Source organism: Homo sapiens, chromosome 2, assembly GCF_000001405.40.
Source record: "Homo sapiens chromosome 2, GRCh38.p14 Primary Assembly".
Taxonomy (NCBI): Eukaryota; Metazoa; Chordata; class Mammalia; order Primates; family Hominidae; genus Homo; species Homo sapiens.
The window spans coordinates 100,561,368-100,583,179 of NC_000002.12; the positions used below are offsets into that span (position 1 = coordinate 100,561,368).

At 46.5% G+C, this 21,812-nt stretch overlaps 1 protein-coding gene and 1 pseudogene across 2 annotated transcripts, besides 2 other annotated features; both read left to right on the plus strand.

The window, feature by feature from the left end:
- Positions 371–1,167: an enhancer, noted in NCBI's record as "H3K27ac hESC enhancer chr2:101178200-101178996 (GRCh37/hg19 assembly coordinates)". NCBI's record gives its function as "activates a minimal SCP1, AML or CMV promoter by ChIP-STARR-seq in naive H9 embryonic stem cells {active_cell/tissue: H9 hESC(naive)}" and the evidence as "EXISTENCE:reporter gene assay evidence [ECO:0000049][PMID:30033119]".
- Positions 1,613–1,952: a silencer, noted in NCBI's record as "silent region_11816". NCBI's record gives its function as "represses an Ori minimal core promoter by ATAC-STARR-seq in GM12878 lymphoblastoid cells {active_cell/tissue: GM12878}" and the evidence as "EXISTENCE:reporter gene assay evidence [ECO:0000049][PMID:35858748]".
- PDCL3 (phosducin like 3) lies at positions 1,626–15,372 on the plus strand. 2 transcript variants are annotated; one of them, NM_024065.5, is made up of 6 exons: positions 1,626–1,706; positions 5,136–5,262; positions 7,564–7,654; positions 8,211–8,354; positions 10,223–10,431; positions 14,987–15,372. In NM_024065.5, exons 1-6 carry the CDS (start codon positions 1,701–1,703, stop codon positions 15,127–15,129), a joined length of 720 nt encoding a protein of 239 aa, NP_076970.1. In that variant the 5' UTR covers positions 1,626–1,700; the 3' UTR covers positions 15,130–15,372. The 2 variants fall into 2 exon arrangements, with proteins under 2 accessions (NP_076970.1, XP_016860379.1); XM_017004890.2 differs by lacking the exon at positions 1,626–1,706 and adding an exon at positions 1,938–2,142.
- A 729-nt stretch (positions 15,373–16,101) lies between these two features.
- On the plus strand, positions 16,102–16,190 carry LOC124906187 (uncharacterized; annotated as a pseudogene).
- Positions 16,191–21,812: the final 5,622 nt, after the last annotated feature.

Here is a 21,812-nt window from a genome sequence, read left to right on the forward strand (position 1 = left end):
CAGTAGGTCTCAGCCTCCTTTTCCCCATCCCCTATTCAGGATGGATTGGCTTTGGTTAGAATGCCTCTGACCGGATCATGTGGGGAAGAGCAACTGTAGAATAGCTGAGTCCTGGAAAACAGGCCTCAGGGAACAGCAAAGGCTGGGGATGAGGAAAGGACAAAACACCACCTGCTCTGTTGCTGTGCAGGACTGAGCAAGAAGCACAGGATCAAACTCAAAGTTAGTTCCAGTCCTGATTTTGGTGGTAAGACCCAAGGAAAATTCATTAACAAACATTGTGCTGCCAGATACATTAATAAATCCCTAAAAGGGCCTGTAATTCAGTTGAAATGAGTGAGAAAAATCTTAAGGATCCTTATAAATTAAATAAAAACTCCTTGCTCTCAAGCAATCATTTGATTCACTCTATATCAACGACTGTGCACTTTAGCATCACCTGAGGATCTTTAAGAAAGTATCTGTGCTAGGCCTCATTTCCAAGGATTTAATTTGTCTGGGGATGGAGCCCCAGGACATTCCTAGTTTTTGAGGGCTTCCAGGTGATTCTAATGCATAGCCACGGTTGGAAGCCCTGCGCCTATCTCACAGGTGTGTGGGTCTCTACTCTCTGTGTCCGCTTAGTTGCCAGGAGGCAGCAAGTTAGCCCACGTGTGCAAGATGCTTCCTTCCATACCAGGTAGGAATATTGCTCTCTTAAACTTGGAGTGTGCCTGGGCAGAAGCTCTGGAGCCCAATACCTGCATTTTACAAGTCAGATTGCTGCTTTTTGCTCAGTGCCTGTGTGCCTGCATACATGGGTCTCCTGATACTCAGGCACGGCAGATGACTTTCACCTTTGTTTTAGTGTTTTGCTCACTGCTGCATCTGCAGAGCCTAGAATGGTGCCTGGTACACAGCAGGCTCTCAATGTCTTATTAATGAGTTGCCTTTTCCAAGGCTGAAGTGATCGTGGGTGAATTCCAGAAGACCCTGCATCATTTTTATTTATTTATTTATTTAAGACGGAGTCTCGCTCTGTAACCCAGGCTGGAGTGCAGTGGAGAGATCTCAGCTCACTGCAAGCTCCGCCTCCCCCGTTCAAGCAATTCTTCTGCCTCAGCCTCCAGAGTAGCTGGGATTACAGGCAACCACCACTACGCCCGGCTAATTTTTTTGTATTTTTAGTAGAGACGGGGTTTCACCATGTTGGCCAGGCTGATCTCGAACTCCTGACCTCAAGTGATCCGCCCGCCTCGGCCTGGGATCACAGGCGTGTGCCACCGCGCCCGGCCTAGAGGCAATTTTCTATTTCTGACTTGTTAGGCTAGTCAGAGCGAGACGTCTTTACAGGTTTGGGCCGGCAGCTGGAAAAGGCACACGGCCCCGGGCTCCTCCTCCACCCAGCCCCACCCCTCCTCCGCTGAAGACCAGCCCTAATAAGGCAGCCACCAGAATTAGAACCAGGTCAAGTGCACTCCGAGCAGGACAGTAGGCAGATCCTATCTGGCGCATGCGAACGCTTCTGTGCCAGTTCCTTGAAGAGCAGGCGCAGACTCAAGGCTGTTGCTTCCGCCCTTACTCCCCGCCGCTCGTCCCTGGGCGGGGCGAAGGCTGGGCTGGGGGAAGAGGCGTGGCGGCGCTGTGCGCGTGCACAAAAGAGAGCTGAGGGGCGGGGGCGCTGCGGCACAGCTGGTTTGAGCAACTGAACTGGAAACAAGATGCAGGTGAGCTAGGACGGGTCTCGGGTCTGGGGGCTGCGGCCCGTTCCTTTGTCTCGTTAGGCCCGGGCGGGCAGTGGACGCCCGCCCTGGGGGAAGCTCCGGCGCCGCAGGCACGAGGGAGGCCCGGCGCGTCCAGGCCCTGCGCAGGCGCAGTGCGGGAGGCGGGCGTGGTCCCACCAGGACCCACGGCCTGGGCGTCCCCGCCTCGGTGTGCCGGGTCCCCCAAACCTCGTCCTCCGGGACTATGTCTTCTCGCGGTCTCTACCCACCCGGGCCTGTGAAGGTCTTGCCGGATCCCGCCTAACAAAAGTTACCTCCTCTCCTGAACTCCCCTAAGGCACACCTGGGCAGAGGTGTTAGGAAGCGGAGGGTCCGGCCTGGGGTCTTCCGCACGTAAAGCAGCGCCACAGCCGGTGTTCCTGGCTCCACTGAGAGCCAGGTGAGGGCTTAGTTACACCCTCTTCCCCCGAGCCCTGGGATCCGCTTGGGGCGTGTTCCCTATCTGACCGCTCGGGTTCCAGAGCTCCCCGCGAGGGTCCCTCTGTTTCGTCCTTTTTTTTTTTTTTATTAAAATAGGTAAAATAAATTATTTTTCTGTAGCTGCAATTTACTAGCGGAATTTGGTTAAAGCCTAAGGAGAATGAATGAAAACACCATGGAAATGGGCACTATTGTGGGTGAAAACCTATGCCAACTAAATTTTGTCACTGTCCAAAGATCCCGCAGTGGTCAGAAATTCTAATCTCTGCTTAGTGGCAGATGGAGAGGAGAGGGTGCGGGTTTTGCTGGGGAGGGAGGCATTAGGGGCTGGAGGGGAGGGCGTGTCTGCCAGGAGCCAGACACTGTTTTTTTTTTTTTTGAGACCGGGTCTTGCTCTGTTGCCCAGGCTGGAGTGCAGTGGCTCTGTCACAGCTCACTGCAACCTCGACCTCCCGGGGCTAAGCCATCCTCCCTTGTCAGCCTCCGGAGTAGCTGGGACCACAGGCGTGCACCCACCACTCTGGGCTAATTTTTTGTGCAGATGGGGTCTCCCTATGTTGCCCAGCCTCAGCCTCCCAAAGTGTTGGGATTACAGGATGAGCCACCGCACCTGGCCTAGACACTCTTAAATGGTGAAGTGGTAGCTTGAGGGCTGCCCTGGCCTCCTTTGCATTCCCTGTCCTTCAGGTCCCTTGAGGCCTTCCCTGACCACCCTGTAGAAAGGATTCTGCTCTTTTTGTTTGTTTGTTTGTTTGTTTCTTTTTGAGACAGAGTCTTGCTCTGTCGCCCAGGCTGGAGTGCAGTGGCGCGACCTCGGCTCACTGCAAGCTCCGCCTCTCCAGTTCACGCCATTCTCCTGCCTCAGCCTCCTGAGTAGCTGGGACTACAGGCGCCCGTCACCACTCCCGGGTAATTTTTTGTATTTTTAGTAGAGACAAGGTTTCACCATGTTAGCCAGAATTGTCTCGATCTCCTGACCTGGTGATCTGCCCGCCTAGGCCTTCCAAAGTGCTGGGATTATCGGCATGAGCCACCGCGCCCGGCCTCATTTTTCTTTTGATGTATCTCAGAACTGTTACACAGGGTTGGGGTTGGAGACCGATTATCCCGGTGCCCTTTTCACAGTGCTCCTGATTTCATATTCCAAAGCAAGCCTGAGCTCCATTAGCAGTGTTCTTGCCACACCATGCAAACCGGTGCTTGGGCAGCTGGGTTCTAGATCTAAGAGCCACTTTTACATCAGTCTTTGTGACAATGATCCTTTGTGATTTTGATGCTGGCTGATTTGGCCAGCCGTTCTAGCATGGCAGTGCCTCTAAATGCCGTGCCTCTCCTAGGCTTGTGAGGATTCAGGGACAAGGTACAAGAAAAAGGGCTTAGAGTGCCCTGTATTTTATGAGCTACTCTGAGACGTCTCAGCTTTTCCTCTCAGGTTTGGCCATTAGAGAATTCTGTCAGCCAAGCCTCATCTGCAGCCTGAGATCCTCAAAATGTCACAGTCTCTTTGCTCTTGGGCAGTATGCATGCCGCAGGCCGCTCTGCCTGGAAGATTATTTTCTTGATTACGGGCGTGCACCTGGCTAATTTTTGTGTTTTTAGTGGAGATGGGGTTTCACTATACTGGCCAGTCTGGTCTTTTAACTCCTGACCTCAGATGCTCCACCTGCCTTGGCCTCCCAAAGAGCTGGAATTACAGGCGTGAGCCACTCCACCCAGCCTGGAAGATTTTTTTTTTTTTTTTTGAGACAGAGTCTAGCTCTGTCGCCCAGGCTGGAGTGCAGCGGCTCGATCTCGGCTCACTGCAAGCTCCACCTCCCGGGTTCCTGCCACTCTCCTGCCTCAGCCTCCCGAGTAGCTGGGACTACAGGCGCCCGCCACCACGCCCGGCTAATTTTTTGTGTTTTTAGTAAAGACGGGGTTTCATCATGTTAGCCAGGATGCTCTCGATCTCCTGACCTTGTGATCCACCCACCTCTGCCTCCCAAAGTGCTGGGATTACAGGCGTGAGCCACCGTGCCCAGCCTGGAAGATTATTTGTAAGCCCCCAGACTCCTATCACAGATTGCTTTCCACCCTCAGACGGAATGTCACCTCCTCTGTAGGGAACATCCCTATCTACTCTGTGGAATGTGGGTCCTGGGTAATTCTCTAAAATGGCAGCCTGTTTGTCATTGCACTTGCCACAATTTTATCTCTCTATGTATAGTTTGTATATATACTTGTTTGTTGCCTGTCTCTTCCTCTTGTCTGTAACACAGGTGACTCTCGCATTCACCACTCTTCCCCATTGCCTACAATAATTTACATGTGGTAGATACTTCAGTTTTATCTGTTGAATGAATCACTCAGTCATTATTATTATTATTATTTTGAGACTGTGTCTTGCTCTGTCGCCCAGGCTGGAGTGCAGTGGCACGATCTCGGCTCACTGCAAGCTCCGCCTCCCGGGTTTATGCCATTCTCCTGCCTCAGCCTCCCAAGTAGCTGGGACTACAGGTGCCCGCCACCACGCTCGGCTAATTTTTTGTATTTTCAGTAGAGACGGGGTTTCACCGTGTTAGTCAGGATGGTCTCTATCTCCTGACCTCGTGATCCGCCTGCCTCAGCCTCCCAAAGTGCTGGGATTACAGGCGTGAGCCACTGTGCCCGGCACTCTCAGTCATTATTAAAAATATTGAACACATGCCAAGTCAGAGCCTTGGTATCCGTATTGATACTGATCTGCACTCCCTATCCTAATTTTTACCCCAAGAATAGCTCCTCCATTCAGGGAGGGGTAGACAGGAAAAACAAAACGGGGGCTATGGATCTTTTGACACTTTCTCAGAAATAGTTCACAGACTGGTGTGCATTCCTCCCTTCCTGTCACTTTTCCCATTTGGCCCCTTGCCCAACGTGGCACCCTACATACTAGACTTAGCACTCATGGTAACCTTGGTCCCGCTCTTCTAGGACCCCAACGCAGACACTGAATGGAATGACATCTTACGCAAAAAGGGTATCTTACCCCCCAAGGAAAGTCTGAAAGAATTGGAAGAGGAGGCAGAAGAGGAGCAGCGCATCCTCCAGCAGTCAGTGGGTGAGTTCACTCGCTTTCCTCTGCACCTGTCTGGGTTAGGAGATGGCTCCCTAAGCCTCTGACTGCCCTGCCAGGAGACAGGTTGGAGTGCCAGCATGGACACTCTGTGTCTGTGGGACCTCAGACAAAACACAGGGCGTCTCTCACCTTCACCTTCCTGAGCCATAGACTTAGGGGACTTCAGATATGTCCCACAAGTCCTTGTCCATGTCACATGAGCACTGAAGAAAATACTTCTTTCTGCTTTCTGGTCTGTGATTCCCTTTGATAATGTCATGGAAATTTGTTCAAGGTTTTTAGTACTTGTATTTTCCTGAGCATATACTTTATTTTCTGTGGTTTCATTGAGGATATTAACTAAAAATTGCTTCATTTGGGGAGGCATAAGATGTTTGCAATGTGTGGGAGTCTGAGGGGGGTTTTCTCAAAGGCAGTTGTACTGTCTGAATTGGAGTCCCTTGGAGTGCTGGTAACCCCACCCACCTAGTGTTTACTGAAGCAGTCTCTGGAATGAGGCCCAGGAATCTGCATTTTAAACAAGTGCCTTAAAGGATTCTGATGCGTGTCATAGTTTGAGAAGCACTGGTCCCAGGGACTAGTACTTTTGTCCTCTGTTGACACATTAGAGCTAATTTAGAGAAGGATTTATTAGAAAGTATCCAGCGAGTGCTTACTGCATGATTATCATTGTCAGGTGCTTTTCTGGGGTTGGGGATTTAGCTATGCATAAGCCAGAGACAATTCTCTGCCCTCAGAGAACCAACATTCAAGTGGGGGAGACAGACAATAAACAATAAAGAAAATAAGGCAGTAAAAGGGACTAGAAAGGGTTGGAGGAGAAGCAGGCTCAGAGAGGGCCTCACTGAGATGACATTTGCATGGACCTGAAGGAGGTGAAGCTGGCATTTGGGTAAAGACCTGAAGGAGCTGAAGAACACATTTGAATAGACCTGAGGGAGTTGTTGAGACCTGAAGGAGGTGAAGAAGACATCTGGGTATTCCTGAAGGGGGTGACGTGAGCGAGTGAAATATGGGCCCTGGCATGGCTGGGAATCCCTGAGGAGCTGGAGGCGCTGGGGGAGAGAGTTCAGAGCAGCCTCAGCAGACCCAGAAGCTTCTAGTAAGGACCTTGGCCTTTACACCTAATGAGGCAGGAAGCTTTTGGATGTTTAAACAGAAGAGTGACATTTTCTCTTTTTTGTTTTTTTTTTGAGATGGAGTCTCGCTCTCTTACCCAGGCTGGACTGCAGTGGCGCAATCTTGGCTCACTGCAACCTCCGCCTCCCAGGTTCAAGCGATTCTCCTGCGTCAGCCTCCCGAGTAGCTGGGATTACAGACATGTGCCACCACGCCTAGGTAATTTTTTGTAGCGATGAGGTTTCACCATGTTGGCCAGGCTGGTCTCAAACTCCTGACCTCTAGTGATCCGCCCACCTCAGCCTCCCAAAGAGCTGGGATTATAGGCGTGAGCCACTGCACCCAGCCAAGGGATGCATTAACTTGGAGATCCCTATTAGACAAATAGCCACATTAAGAGGGCCCTTGGGTATGTTTTTCTCTACATTAGAGAAGTCTGGGCTGGAGGCCTATACTTTGGGAGTTGTCAGCATATTGATAGCACTGAAAGCCATGAGATTAGATGCAATCACCGAGGGAGTGGGTGTGGATAAAGAAGAAAAGTAGTCAAAGGTTTGAGCCTGGGGAATTTTAATCAGCAAAGGGTTCAACAGTAGGGCGGCTGGCTCACTCCTGTAATCCCAGCACTTTGAGATGGGCAGATCACTTGAGGTCAGAAGGTTCAAGACCAGCTTGGCCAACATGGTGAAACCCTGTCTCTATTAATGATACAAAAATTAGCTGGGTGTGGTGGCACACGCCTGTAATCCCAGCTACTCAGGAGGCTGAGGCAGGAGAATTGCTTGAATCTGGGAGGCGGAGGTTCTCAGTGAGTCAAGATCGCACCATTGCACTCCAGCCTGGATGACAAGAGTGAAACTCTGTCTCCAAAAAAAGGAAAATAAGCGGGGCAGGGTGAGGCGGAATAGGAGAAGAGAGGGGAGGAGGATCTGAGGGCTTGGGTAAAATGTTGTCAGTCAATAAATTGGGATTACAGGTGTGAGCCACCATGCCTGGCCTCTCAGCTTCTAATGTAGTGTGGTGCCTTAAGTAATTTTTGTTTAGGTAGGCTAAGGATCTGGTGTTGTGTGCATATCTTTAGGAGAAAAGAGAGGGGAAAAAAGAAAAATACATGTTCGTTCATCTTTTTAAATTTTTGCTTTTTGCCAATGTAACCAAATTCAGTGAAAACATATGAAGATATGACTTTGGAAGAGCTGGAGGATCATGAAGACGAGTTTAATGAGGAGGATGAACGTGCTATTGAAATGTACAGGTAAGCGCCACCCAGAGGGGCTGTTTGTTTTTTTGTTGTTGTTTGTTTTGTTTTGGTTTTTTTTTTGGCGTGGCAATAAAATGTGTGGGCTGAGCATGGTGACTCATACCTGTAGTCCCAACACTTTGGGAGGCTGAGGCAGGCAGATCGCTTGAGCTCAGAAGTTTGAGACCAGCCTGTGAAACCCCGTCTCTATAAATAATACAAAAACTAGCTGGGTGTGGTGGTGAACGGCTATAGTTCCAGCTACTCAGGAGCCCTGGAAGTGGAGGTTGCAGTGAGCTGAGACTGTGCCACTGCACTCCAGCCTGTGTGACAGAGCCAAACTCTGTCTCAAAAAATAAAATGAAATGTGTGTCCTTCAAAAAATTAATTTTCAGCTGAAACATCTAGGAGCGACTGCAATTAAATAATATTGTGAATTTTAGCAAACTGATCTTAGATTTTTGCCATAAGACCAATAAATAAACCTGGGCTTTTACAAGGATTGCCTTCTAGACGATGTGTGTGTACACGTGTTTGTGACGTAAGATGTTTCTCTCCTTGTTTTGTGCAGACGGCGGAGACTGGCTGAGTGGAAAGCAACTAAACTGAAGAATAAATTCGGAGAAGTTTTGGAGATCTCAGGGAAGGATTATGTTCAAGAAGTTACCAAAGCTGGCGAGGGCTTGTGGGTCATCTTGCACCTTTACAAACAAGGGTGAGCTGATCTTCCACTCCATCTATCAAATGTTAATTTGAATTTATGTCTTCAGGATCTCAGGCGTTACCTATATCAGAGGGTTAAGAAATTTTTTTTTCTGGGCCAGGCGCAGTAGCTCACACCTGTAATCCCAGCACTTTGGGAGGCTGAGGCAGGTGGATCATGAGGTCAGGAGATCAAGACCATCCTGGCTGACACGATGAAACCCCGTCTCTACTAAAAATACAAAAACAAAATTAGCTGGGCGTGGTCGCGGGCGCCTATAGTCCCAGCTACTTGGGAGGCTGAGGTGGGAGAATGGCATGAACCCGGGAGGCGGAGCTTGCAGTGAGCCGAGATTGCGCCACTGCACTCCAGCCTGGGCGACAGAGCGAGACTTTGTCTCAGAAAAAATTTTTCTGGTACTGAGTTTTTTGTGTTTTTTTTGCTGGTTTGCCCAAACCTTATTACTTAATTTTTTTATCTTAAGACTTTCAAGTTAATAATTTGTGACTAATATGAATGCCTTTGTTAAAGTATAGCAATGAAGACTATGCTTTTCTGTTTTTGAAAAGGAATTCCTAAGTTATTTATTCCTTTACAGGAACTCTGACATTTCAACATTCTATGTAATGAATTTATCTCATAGATGGCAAGGTTGGCCTTTACAGTAGTAATTGCCTGAACTGTGTGATACTGAGGGCCTCTGATTTTTCTCAGCTCTCCAGTCTTGTCTTAAACTGTAGAGTCCAGTGCTTATTTAGGAATTTCTTTTTTTTTTTTTTTTTTGTTTGAGACAAAGTCTCACTCCATTGACCAGGCTGGAGTGCAGTGGCATGATCTCGGCTCACTGCAACCTCCGTCTCCCAGGTTCAAGCGATTCTCCTGCCTCTGCTCCTGAGTAGCTGGGATTACAGGCGCCTGCCACCGCACTCAGCTGATTTTTGTATTTTTAGTAGAGACGGGGTTTCACCATCTTGGCCAGGCTGGTCTTGAACTCCTGACCTCATGATCCACTCATCTTGGCCTCCCAAAGTGCTGGGATTACAGGCGTTAGCCGCTGCACCTGGCCAGGAATTTCTTTAAAGCAGAAAACGTTTTCTGACATTTCATACTTTCTAAACCTTCAGCGTTTTCTCATTCAACCTTATAAGAAATGTATAGCAATTTTATCTTTTACATTGAAGCTGTTTTTCTGACTTGTTTTGTCAAATAAATTGGACTTTGGATTTGTGTTCTTCACTTTCCCTCAGCATATTAGGAAGTTTTTAAGAAATGTTAATTCAGCTGGGCATGGTGGCTTACACCTGTAATACCTGTAATCCCAGCACTTTGGGAAGCCATTGCGGCCGGATCTCGAGCTCAAGAGTTCAAGAGCAGCCTGGGCAACGTGGTGAAACCCTGTCTTTACAAAAAAAAAAAAAAAAAATCAGCTGGGCATGGTGGTGTGTGCCTGTAATCACACCTCCCGAGTAGCTGGGATTACAGGCGCCTGCCACTGCACCCAGCTAATTTTTGTATTTTTAGTAGAGATGGGGTTTCACCATCTTGGCCAGGCTGGTCTTGAACTCCTGACCTCATGATCTTGGCCAGGCTGGTCTTGAACTGCTGACCTCATGATCCACTCACCTTGGCCTCCCAAAGTGCTACTTGGGGGGCTGAGGTGGGAGCATTGCTTGTGAGCCGAGATCACACCACTTCACTCCATTTAGCCTGGGTGAAAACAAGACCCTATGTCAAAAAAAACATGTTAATTCATCTTAGCTAGCAGCAGAATTACTTGTGAAACTGTTACAAGGTTTTACTTAGGGTAGAAGGGTCATTGAGCTTTGTTCTGTATAAATGTAGGATCATAATTGCTTCTGTTTTCTATGTGTGTTTTATAGAATTCCCCTCTGTGCCCTGATAAATCAGCACCTCAGTGGACTTGCCAGGAAGTTTCCTGATGTCAAATTTATCAAAGCCATTTCAACAACCTGCATACCCAATTATCCTGATAGGAATCTGCCCACGATATTTGTTTACCTGGAAGGAGATATCAAGGCTCAGTTTATTGGTCCTCTGGTGTTTGGCGGCATGAACCTGACAAGAGATGGTAAGGGCTCTGGGAGACAGGCGGGGCAGTGAGAGATGGGAGGCGCATTTCTGTTGGAGAGAGTGTCTATTTCCTGGACTCCTGTTACGATGGTGGGTCAAGTTCACTTCTGCCTGTGTATGAGGACGGAAGCACGTTTAATCTCTCATCTTAGTTGCGTAATCAGGAACAGTTACAACTGGGCTCTACTGATTCTTAGTTCAAGGAAGGCGTGATAGACTTAAATATAAACATTTTTTATATTGGTGTGGAATATATTTTGTCTCTACAGTTGGATGTTTTTGTAGCTTGAAATCACAACATTCACTTTTGCTTTAATTCACATGAACACAGGGAGACGTTAATGTATGTATTTGTATTTTTCTACAGAAACATTCTCAGTTGAGTATGTTAGTAGCTTTTACATTTATTTACTTAGTTATTTATTTTTTGAGACAGAGTCTTGCTCTGTCACCCAGGCTGGAGTGCAATGGTATGATCTTGCCTCACTGCAACTTCTGCCTCCCAGGTTCAAGTGATTCTCCTGCCTCTGCCTCCCAAGTATCTGGGATTACTGGCACCTACCACCACGCCCAGCTAATTTTTGTATTTTTAGTGGAGACGGGGTTTCACCATGTTGGCCAGGCTGGTCTCAAACTCCTGGCCTCAAGTGATCTACCCACTTCAGCCTCCCAAAGTGCTGGGATTACAGACGTGAGCCACTGCGCCCGGCTAGTAGCTTTTATTTATTTTTTTTGAGACAGAGTTTCACTCTTCTTGCCCAGGCTGGAGTGCAATCACGTGATCTCGGCTCACTGCAACCTCTGCCCCCCAGGTTCAAGTGATTCTCCTGCCTCAGCCTCCCTAGTAGCTGGGATTACAGGCATGTGCCAACATGCCTGGCTAATTTTTTTGTATTTTTAGTAGAGACAGGGTTTCTCCATGTGGTCAGGCTGGTCTCAAACTCCTGACCTCAGGTGATCCACCCGCCTCAGCCTCCCAAAGTGCTGGGATTACAGGCGTGAGCCACTGCGCCTGGCCAGCTTTTAAATTAAATTAAAATTTTATTTAATTCTGCCTGTTAGCTCGGAAGGATGTGGTTTTTGTTTGATTGTTTGTTTTTTTGAGATGGAGTTTTGCTCTTTCGCTCAGGCTGGAGTGCAGTGGTGCGATCTTGGTTCACTGGAACCTCCACCTTCTGGTTTCAAGCAATTCTCCTGCCTCAGCGTCTCAGGTAGCTGGGATTACAGGCGCCCACCACCACGCTTGGCTAATTTTTGTATTTTTAGTAGGGACAGGTTTTCACCATGTTGGCCAGGCTGGTCTTGAACTCCTGACCTCGTGATCTGCCCGCCACAGCCTCCCAAAGTGCTGAGATTACAGATGTGAGCCACCGCGCCCGGCTGTGTTTTTAAATTCCTTTCTACCTGTTAAACATGGAGGTATCAAAATACATACCCACACAGAACGTGAAGGAGAACCTCAGCCCAGAGGCATTCTTGCCAAGTGAAACTCTTTATCTCTTTATTGAAATAATATTTCCAACTATGCTTTACCAGAAAGACATTTTTAAACATGACTTTATATACTGTACCACTAAGATACTCATCTGGCGGCCGGGTGCGGTGGCTCATGCCTGTAATCCCAGCACTTTGGGAGGCCAAGGCGGGTGGATTGCCTGAGGTCAGGAGTTGGAAACCAGCCTGGCCAACATAGTGAAACCCTGTCTCTACTGAAAATACAAAAAATTAGCTGGGCGTGGTGGCGGGCACTTATAATTCCAGCTACTCGGAGGCTGAGGCAGGAGAATCACTTGACCTGGGAGGCAGAGGTTGCAGTGAGCCAAGATCATGCCATTGCACTCCAGCCTGGGTAACGAGCGAAACTCTATCTCAAAAAAAAAAAAAAAAAGATATTCAGCTGGGGAAAGTATAAATATACAAACATACATAAACACACACATATAGGAGATACATCAGTTACATATTCCAGTGTTCAAAGGCGTACAGCATTTCAAACTAAATACATGTTTGCATCTTATTTTGACCTTTTTTGAATGTACCATGAGGGGAGAGAGAAGTGTGCAATTGTTTTTATTTCTAAAAAAAAGTCTTGAAGTCTAGTGAACTTACATATAACGATTGCTTTGTGTAAGTGAACAGTAACATTAAACACTTATGTACGTATGTGTGGATATATAAAGATATATATATAGAGAGAGATATATATATTTTTTTAATTTTTGAGACAGGGTCTTGCTCTGTCACCCAGGCTGGAGTGCAGTAGCACTATCTTGGCTCACTCCAGCCTCAGCCTCCCGGGTTCAAGCAATTCTCGTGCCTCAGCCTCCTGAGTAGCTGGGACTACAGGCATGTGCCACCATGCCTGGCTAAGTTTTGTATTTTTAGTAGAGACGGTTTCACCGTGTTGCCTAGGCTGGTTGTGAACTCCTGACCTCAAGTGATAAGTGATCCACCTGCCTCAGCCTCCCAAAGTTCTGGGATCACAGGCCTGAGCCACCACATCTGGCTGGATATAAATTCTTGAGTCAGGAATCTGAAGTCTTGTTTTTTTTTTTTTTTAAGAAACAGGTTGAATTTATATAACATTCAACCAAAGTACCTAGAGCCGAAAATACTGGTGTTACTCATCTTCGTGGAACACTTTTTTTTTTTTTACCCAGCATGACTGAGGTATGATGACCAAAACAATTGAATATATTTAAGATATACAACATGGAGATTTAATAGAGGTACAATGTGAAATGATTACCACAATCCAAGTAATTAACCATCCATCATTTCACATAGCTGCCCTCACTGTGGTGAGAATCCTTAAGATCTACTTTCCTAGCAAATTTCAAGTATACAATACGTTATTATTCACTGTAGTTACCATGTTCTACATTAGGTCTTCAGAACTTACCATCTTATAACTGAAAGTTTGTATCCTTGGCCAACATCTCCCATTTCCACTCCTCCCCTGATAACCACCATTCTATTCTCTGTTTCATGGAACACTTTAAGTTAATAAGTAAAATTCAACTGAGCACGTTGGCTGAAGCCTGTAATCCTAGCATGTTGGGAAGCTAAGGCTGGAGGATTGCATGAGGCCAGGAGTTTGAGACCAGCCTGGGCAACATAGCGAGATCCCATGTCTACAAAAAAGAAAGTAGCCAGGTGTGGTGGTGCACACCTGTAGTCTCAGCTGCTAGGGAGATGGGCGGGAGGATCATTTGAACCCAGGAGTTCAAGGTTACAGTGAGCTATGATTGCACCCATAGCACTCTAGCCTGGGTGATGGAGTGAGAGCCTGTCTCCAAAAAAGTAGATTAAGATAAGACTTCAGTAAAATTGGTTTTCAGATTTTTTTTATTTTGAGACAGTCTCGCTGTGTCGCCCAGGCTGGAGTGCAATGGCGCGATCTCGGCTCACTGCAAGCTCCGCCTCCCACGTTCACACCATTCTCCAGCCTCAGCCTCCCGAGTAGCTGGGACTACAGGCACCTGCCACCATGCCTGGCTAATTTTTTGTATTTTTAGTAGAGACGGGGTTTCACCGTGTTAGCCAGGATGGTCTCGATCTCCAGACTTCGTGATCCGCCCACCTTGGCCTCCCAAAGTGCTGGGATTACAGGCATGTGCCACCGCGCCCGGCCTGGTTTTCAGATTTTAATCGATGTGTCCAGTTAGCAGAACTCTCTGCCTTGATGTTCCTTTAAGCGAAGCCATTTGTTGTAGAATCTCTTACGTAGTCCTTTGGTTCTGCCTGGGCTCTTCTCTGAAGTAGGCAAATACATCACTTGATTTTGCTTCACTTGGTCTCAGACCACAAGAATTTTGCTGATTTTAAGAGTGAAGTATTGGAGCTGAGTCTTCAGTTACTGATTCTTTATTATCTGGTGCTTTTTTGATTAGTTGGAACAAATGTGTAAGTTCTAGGGTATCACCATACATTTATTCTTTGACCCCAATAGATTGAGATACTGGACATGAGGCTGAAGAGTTTATTAAAATTGGATTTAATGATTAGATTGCCAGAAGGTCTGTGGAAATTATTTCCTTCAAATTTTTCATGCTGATTTCCTTCCTGGGAAATTGTAGTCATCAGAGGATAGGTTTATTCTTTGTATTTTTGAGACAGGGTCTCGCTCTGTCGTGTAGGCTGGAGTGCAGTGACATGATCATGGTTCACTGCAGCCTTGAACTCCTGGGCTCAAGCGATCCTGCCACTTCAGCCTCCCAAACAGCTGGGATTATAAGCACACACCACCACTGTACCCAGTGAATTTTTATGTTTTATTTACTTTTATTTTTATTGTTGAGACAGTCTCACTGCTGCCCAGGCTGGAGTGCAGTGGTGTGATCTTAAATGTCTGCAACCTCTACCTCCCAGGCTCAGGTGATCCTCCTGCCTCAGCCTCCCAAAGTGTTGGGATTACAGGCGTGAGCCATTGTGCTGGGCCAAATTTCGATAATTGTATTTTCTACTTAGAAAAAACTAGGTTGATGGACTTAGGGCGAGGGAACCTTTGCAGCACAGTGCCTTAGGCAATTTGCTTTTTCTTTACCATATAGAGTTGGAATGGAAACTGTCTGAATCTGGAGCAATTATGACAGACCTGGAGGAAAACCCTAAGAAGCCGATTGAAGACGTGTTGCTGTCCTCAGTGCGGCGCTCTGTCCTCATGAAGAGGGACAGCGATTCCGAGGGTGACTGAGGCTACAGCTTCTATCACATGCCGAACTTTCTTGTGACAAATTGTCTGGATTTTTTAAAAAAGGAAAAAGCAAGAATGAATCCTTGTGGTTTTTAGTTTTGTATAAATTATGTTTCAAATCTTTACATTTTGGAAATAATCATTGCTGGAGATTCTGTTAAATATTTTGGAACTCTTTTTTTTTTTAAATTATAGTATTTCCTCTAAAAAAAATTAAAACCAGCCATTTGTATGGCAAATGTCTGTTTTCCTCATTTATATTTTAAGTAAGCCATAAAACCTAGTCACTATTTTTTGACATATAACTATAAAAAGAAATACAGTTTTAAATGTGAATAAATTATACAGTGGAAAATTGCAGACTAAGCCTTATAGATACATTGTTTATTTTTATTTTATAAAGAGAGCAGTGAGATTATTAAACTACAGGAATGGTCTCTAGGACAAAAGAATGTTAGTATTGAAGAAACAGACAATTTTTGTGAAACATTCCCTTATTGAAGCAATAACTGAAAGTTTCCAGTTTACTGCCATATTTGGTTAAATGTGTTTTCTTGTTAAAATAGTTTATCTCAGACTGTTAACTAATTTTTTTTTTTTTTTGAGATGGAGCTTTTCTGTGTTGCTGAGGCTGGAGTGCAGTGGCACAATCTCAGCTCACTGCAACCTCCACCTCCCGGGTTCAAGCAATTCTCCTGCCTCAGCCTCCTGAGGAGCTGGGATTACAGACGTGCACCATCACGCCCATCTAATTTTTGTACTTTTAGCAGAGACGGAGTTTCATCATGTTGGCCGGGCTGGTCTCGAACTCCCAACCTCAAAACTCCTGATCCACCCGCCTCGGCTTCACAAAGTTTTGAGATTACAGGTGTGAGCTACCATGCCTGGCCTGTTAACTAATTTTGATTACTATAAGAAGACATTAAATTTATGGAAATATATAAGCATACACATAAATAAACTGTTAATAAACTCATTTTGTGGTTCATAAGTACGATCACGTATGTGAGATGTGCCCCCCTCAAATATCGTTAGGCTGTTGGCACATTACCCATATGACATGAAAAAACAACGTATCAAGATGTTTTGTGAGCCAGATCCTGTATTTCTCACTTAACAAACATTGATACTGAACAATTAGGAAATATTATTTTCTGATATTTGTGTTGAATGATGTATTACTTAGTGCTGGTTTGAATCTGAAATAAGAATCAGCATGGATTTCTTTTAGATTATGTTGTAAAATTTATTTTTGCTTTAATTCAAAGAATGACAAGCAACTTGGACCCATTTTATCAGAAGTATCTGTCTTAGATATTTGGATTCCACCCCCTCCTTTTTTTTTTTTTTTTTTTTAAATAGAGATGGAGTCTCCCTGTGTTACCCAGGCTGGTCTTGAGCTCCTGGGCTCAAGTAATCCTGCCATCTTCGACTCCCAAAATGTTGGGATTACAGGTGTGAGTCACTGCACCCCGCCCACATACACTAGAGCCAGCACTGCCAATAACATATTCCCTGGTGGTGTACTTTGAAAGTGTTTCATGGAATTGCAGGGTTGGAACAAATTTGGTCAGTCCTCTTACTTGGATGCTGGTTCCGTGGGGTTTGTAGGAGAGCTACCTTCTTAGATTTTGGTCTTGGTAGCTGACATGAGATCTTGAGGGAAGAGCAAAGGTGGAAAGTTCAATTCTGCATGTGCCTGAGAGCCTTAATGTGCACATTTACAAAGAAAAAAAGGTGGTGCATGAACAGGGGGCAGCGTCCACAGTGACAGATAAGAGCTTGAGTCCACTATGAAGCCCACACAGGATCTAATTCTAAATTATTAGCTGTGCCACTTCAATCAAAGTGTGAAAACTGCACCTCATAATTTTGTCTGCACACCAGATGAAGGCATTTAGTTCGAGCACAGCAAAAGCTCAGGTGCCTGTGGCATTGGCAAATGAGCCCTGATTAATTCTCGGAGACTTCCCTGTAATACTATTATCTTCTTTCTAATTCCTTTGGCACATTAGTGATACGACAGAGGTGTAAGACTTGGTGCTTAAGCACTGAGTTCCCCCAGTTCCACAGCAGGAACACAGCAGTGACCAGTGGGGGACACAAGGACACCTGGAAGCTGTCTTCTGTGCTTGGAGGGAAGGGTTGTGGGGAAAGGTTAAGCCGGTGCTAGGTAGCCACCCCCCCGCCCCCACTTTTTTTTTTTTTTTTTTGAGACAGGGTCTCCAGTTGCCCAGGCTGGAATGCAGTGGCATGATCTCATCTCACTGCAGCCTCAACTTCCCAAGTTCAAGCGATTCTCCCACCTCATCCTCCTGAGTAGCTGGGACTACAGGTGAGCACCACCATACCAGGCTAATTTTTTTTTTTTTTTTTTTTTTGTATTTTATGTTGAGACAGAGTTTCACCATGTTGCCTGCCTGGTCTCAAACTCCTGGGCTCAAGCGATCCACCCGCCTCAGCCTTCCAAAGTGCTGGGATTACAGTTGTGAGCCACTGTGCCCGGCTGGGGTAGCCCTTTCTTAAGTGATTGGTGGGAAATGGTTCCAGAAAATTGGGATAATAAATGATTGGGAATAGTGAAATTGATAGGATTGTATAATCAAATACTTCCTTCTTTTGTGGAGGAGAGAAAGGATGTGGATAGATGACATACACCTCCTTCATTGCACACCTAACTTCACCTTCTCACGCCCTGAGTCATTGCTTCTGCAGAGACCTACAGCTGAGCCGCTTCCTGGTGGTTCAGAAGGACTTCAGAAAGTTGCGCTGGGCTGGGCGAGGTGGCTGATGCCTGTAATCCCAGCACTTTGGGGGGCCAAGAGGGGCAGATCACCTGAGGATAGGAGTTTGAGACCAGCCTGGCCAACATGGTGAAACCCCAACTCTACTAAAAATACAAAAAATTAGCAGGGCATGGTGGCACAACGCCTGTAATCCCAGCTACTTGGGAGGCTGAGGCAGGAGAATCACTTAAACCCGGGAGGTGGAGGTTGCAGTGAGCCAAGCACACCACTGCACACTCCAGCCTAGGTGCCAGAGTGAGACTCTGTCTCAAAAAAAAAAAAAACAACAAAAAAAAAAAACAGTTCTGCTGGCTATGAAAGGCATCTATGAGAGAGATGGAAGGGCAATTTAGAAGGGTGTCCCTCTGTCATCAGGGAGGGCCAAAAGTTTTTTTTTTTTTTTTTTTGGCATTTATTACCTCCAGCTTTAAACTCAACCTTCTTATATAATCCCAAATATATATATATATATATATATATATTTTTTTTTTTTTGAGACGGAGTCTTGCTCTGTTGCCCAGGCTGGAGTGCAGTGGCGTGATCTTGGCTCACTGCAAACTCCGCCTCCTGGGTTCACACCATTCTCCTGCCTCAGCCTTCCGAGTAGCTGGGACTACAGGCGCCCTCCACCACGCCCCACTAATTTTTTTGTTGTTGTTGTATTTTTAGTAGAGATGGGGTTTCACCGTGTTAGCCAGGATGGTCTTGATCTCCTGACCTCGTGATCCACCAGTCTCGGCCTCCCAAAGTGCTGGGACTACAGGTGTGAGCCACCGCGCCCAGCCTATAATCCCAAATCTTGACCAACTACCTTTCAGGTATGGCAGGCAACAAGTGTTGTGACTGCAGCGCCTGCGTGAGAAACATGCTCCCATGAAAGGGGCCGGGTACAGTGACTCACACCTGTAATCCCAGCACCTTGGGAGGCCGAGGTGGGTGGATCACCTGAGGTCAGGAGTTCCAGGCCAGCCTGACCAACATGGTGAAACCCCATCTCTACTAAATACAAAAATTAGCTGGGCATGGTAGCGCCCTATAATTCCAGCTACTTGGGAGGCTGAGGCAGGAGAAGTGCTTGAACCTGGGAGGTGGAGATTGCAGCGAGCCAAGATTGCGCCACTGCACTCCAGCCTGGGCAACAAGAGTGAAATTTTGTCTCCAAAAAAAAAAAAAGAAAGTGCTTTTGTCCTGCTTACAGAAACCAGCTATTACTCACAGATATAACCTTAGAGACAGGTGGCTGTCAGTCTCAAGTGAAGATGTGCCTGTTTCCAAGTCCCCTCCCTCCCTCTCTGCTTTTGACCACATTCTCTACCCCATTCTTTGCTTCAGTAATCATCCGTCTTGATTTCCGCTTCTCCCTGGACATGGGGCCTTCAGGTAGTAACAGTGTTAGGGTCCTGTGGCAGAGAGTGCTGGTTGCCCACCAGTATCCAGGATTCTCCCCCTCTACTCCAGTGGCAATGGGACCCGCTGGAAGAGTAAACCCCGGCCTCTCTTGAGCTGTGGGTGGTTGGCTGGGAGTTCAGTTCTGGGCAAGCTGCTACTAGGAGGAACAGACAACTGTCATGTGCCCTTTGTGGGCTTAACCCCCTTCCTTCTACTTTCTGACGGAAGTGTGCATGCGACTGCAGCCTGCGTGGGCCGTGAGGTATTTATACATAGAGGCAAAGCAGTAAGGACAATATTCCCAAAGATGCTGTGGAGCCACTATATCCCAGCCCTTGACTGTCCTCTCTGGACTTCTGTCATTAGGAAAGACGTAACTTCCGTCTTGGTCTCTGTTAGTAGCAGCTGATGCATTTCCTGATAAAACCACCCGTCAAAGAAAACCTCAAACAAAACATTCATTCTAGCTTTCTACTGCCCGATGCTGAATTACTTGACATAACACAAGAGTACTCTGTATTCCCTGCCTCTAGCTGTCACCATTGCCTTTCAGTAACTTCATGGGCCCGGCTTTTGGACTTCCATTTCCAGCACTTGAGGAACACTAAAAAACCCACCTGATGATGACTCAAGCTGTTGGAGAAAACTTATTTTTAAATGTTATGTTCTTAACTGTTTCACTGAGTTGGTAAGAAAGGAAAACATTCTGAGAGGCCAAACACAAAGTGAAAGCAGAACTTCAGGAAGGTAAGGGGGCATTCAACTTTTCTCCCTAGGGATACAAACCAAATCTTAGTGATGCTGTGCTTCTATTAGGATGGACTTGTGGGGCCCAGGTGACAGGGGATTAGCGTGGGGAGTGCCTAAGTTGGGGGTCTGATTAGGAAGTCTCTGTGCAAACAGCTGGAATCCCAAAAGATTGCATTCAGTGTTAGGGGAAACTGGCACTAGCTGGAAGAGAACATAGTTGTCTCTGAGATGCCAACTACAAGCCTTCCCTCATGCAGGTTTGTAGTTCTAATTCTCATGCTACATCAGGTCTAAAATCCTCTCAAACCAGGTTCTCAAAGAGGCCCTAGGCTGGGCGCGGTGGTTCATGCCTGTAATCCTAGCACTTTGGGAGGCCGAGGAGGGTGGATCATCTGAGGTCAGGAGTTCCAGAACAGCCTGGCCAACATGGTGAAAACCTGTCTCTACTAAAAATATAAAATTAGCTGGGCGTGGTGGTGGGCGCCTGTAATCCCAGCTACTTGGGAGGCTGAAGCAGGAGAATCACTTGAACCTGGGAGGCAGAGGTTGCAGTCCAGCCTGGGCAACAAGAGCAAAACTCTGTCTAAAAAAAAAAAAAAAAAAAAAAAAAAAAGAGAAAGAAAGAAAGACATCCTAAGCTGGTAGTACCTCTTAGTTCACGGCCAAAGCAACTGCATATCTATGCTAGAGCACACCTTTGATTTAGCCTCAAATGCTCTCCACAGATAAAGCCCCAGCCGGGCACAGTAGCTCACGCCTGTAATCCCAGCACTTCGGGAGGCTGAGGCGGACGGATCACAAGGTCAGGAGATCAAGACCATCCTGGCTAACACGGTGAAACCCCGTTGCTACTAAAAAATACAAAAAATTAGCTGGGCGTGGTGGCGGGCACCTGTAATCCCAGCTACTTGGGAGGCTGAGGCAGGAGAATCACTTGAACCTGGGAGGCAGAGGTTGCAGTGAGCTGAGATTGCGCCATTGTACTCCATCTTGGGCAGCAAGAGCAAAACTCTGTCCCCCCTCCCCCCAAAAAAAGGCCGGGTGCGGTGGCTCACGCCTGTAATCCCAGCACTTTGGGAGGCCAAGGCGGGTGGATCACGAGGTCAGGAGATGGAGACCATCCCGGTTAACATGGTGAAACCCTGTCTCTACTAAAAATACAAAAAATTAGCCAGGCGTGGTGGCGGGCGCCTGTGGTCCCAACTGCTCCGGAGGCTGAGGTAGGAGAATGGCGTGAACCCGGGAGGCGGAGCTTGCAGTGAGCCGAGACTCCGTCTCAAAAAAAAAAAAAAAAGAAAAAGATGCCCTAAGCTGGTAGTACCTCTGAGCTCATAGCCAAAGCAACTGCGTATCTATGCTAGAACACACCTTTGATTTAGCCTCAAACTCTCTCCTAGAAGCTCCAAGAACATGAGCTTCTAGTAAAAATATCACAAACCCACAAAATCACAGGATGCCACAGATAAGGCATCCTGAATGAAAGCCAGCAGAAAACAGACAGCACAGCCAGACCTGCAAAGACAGGAGAGAGGAATTTTCAGACATAAAATATACGATGAATGTTTTTTATATGTTATATAAAAGTGTAAAAACGTATAAAAAAGTTTTTTATGTTATATAAAAGTGTAAAAAAAAAGAGTACCTTAGATAAAAATGAATTCCTTAAAAAAATAACTAACAGAACAGCGAATTAATGAACTAGAAAGCAGAGCCAATTCCCCCGAAGCACAGGGTCAAATGGGTGGGACAAATTTTAAA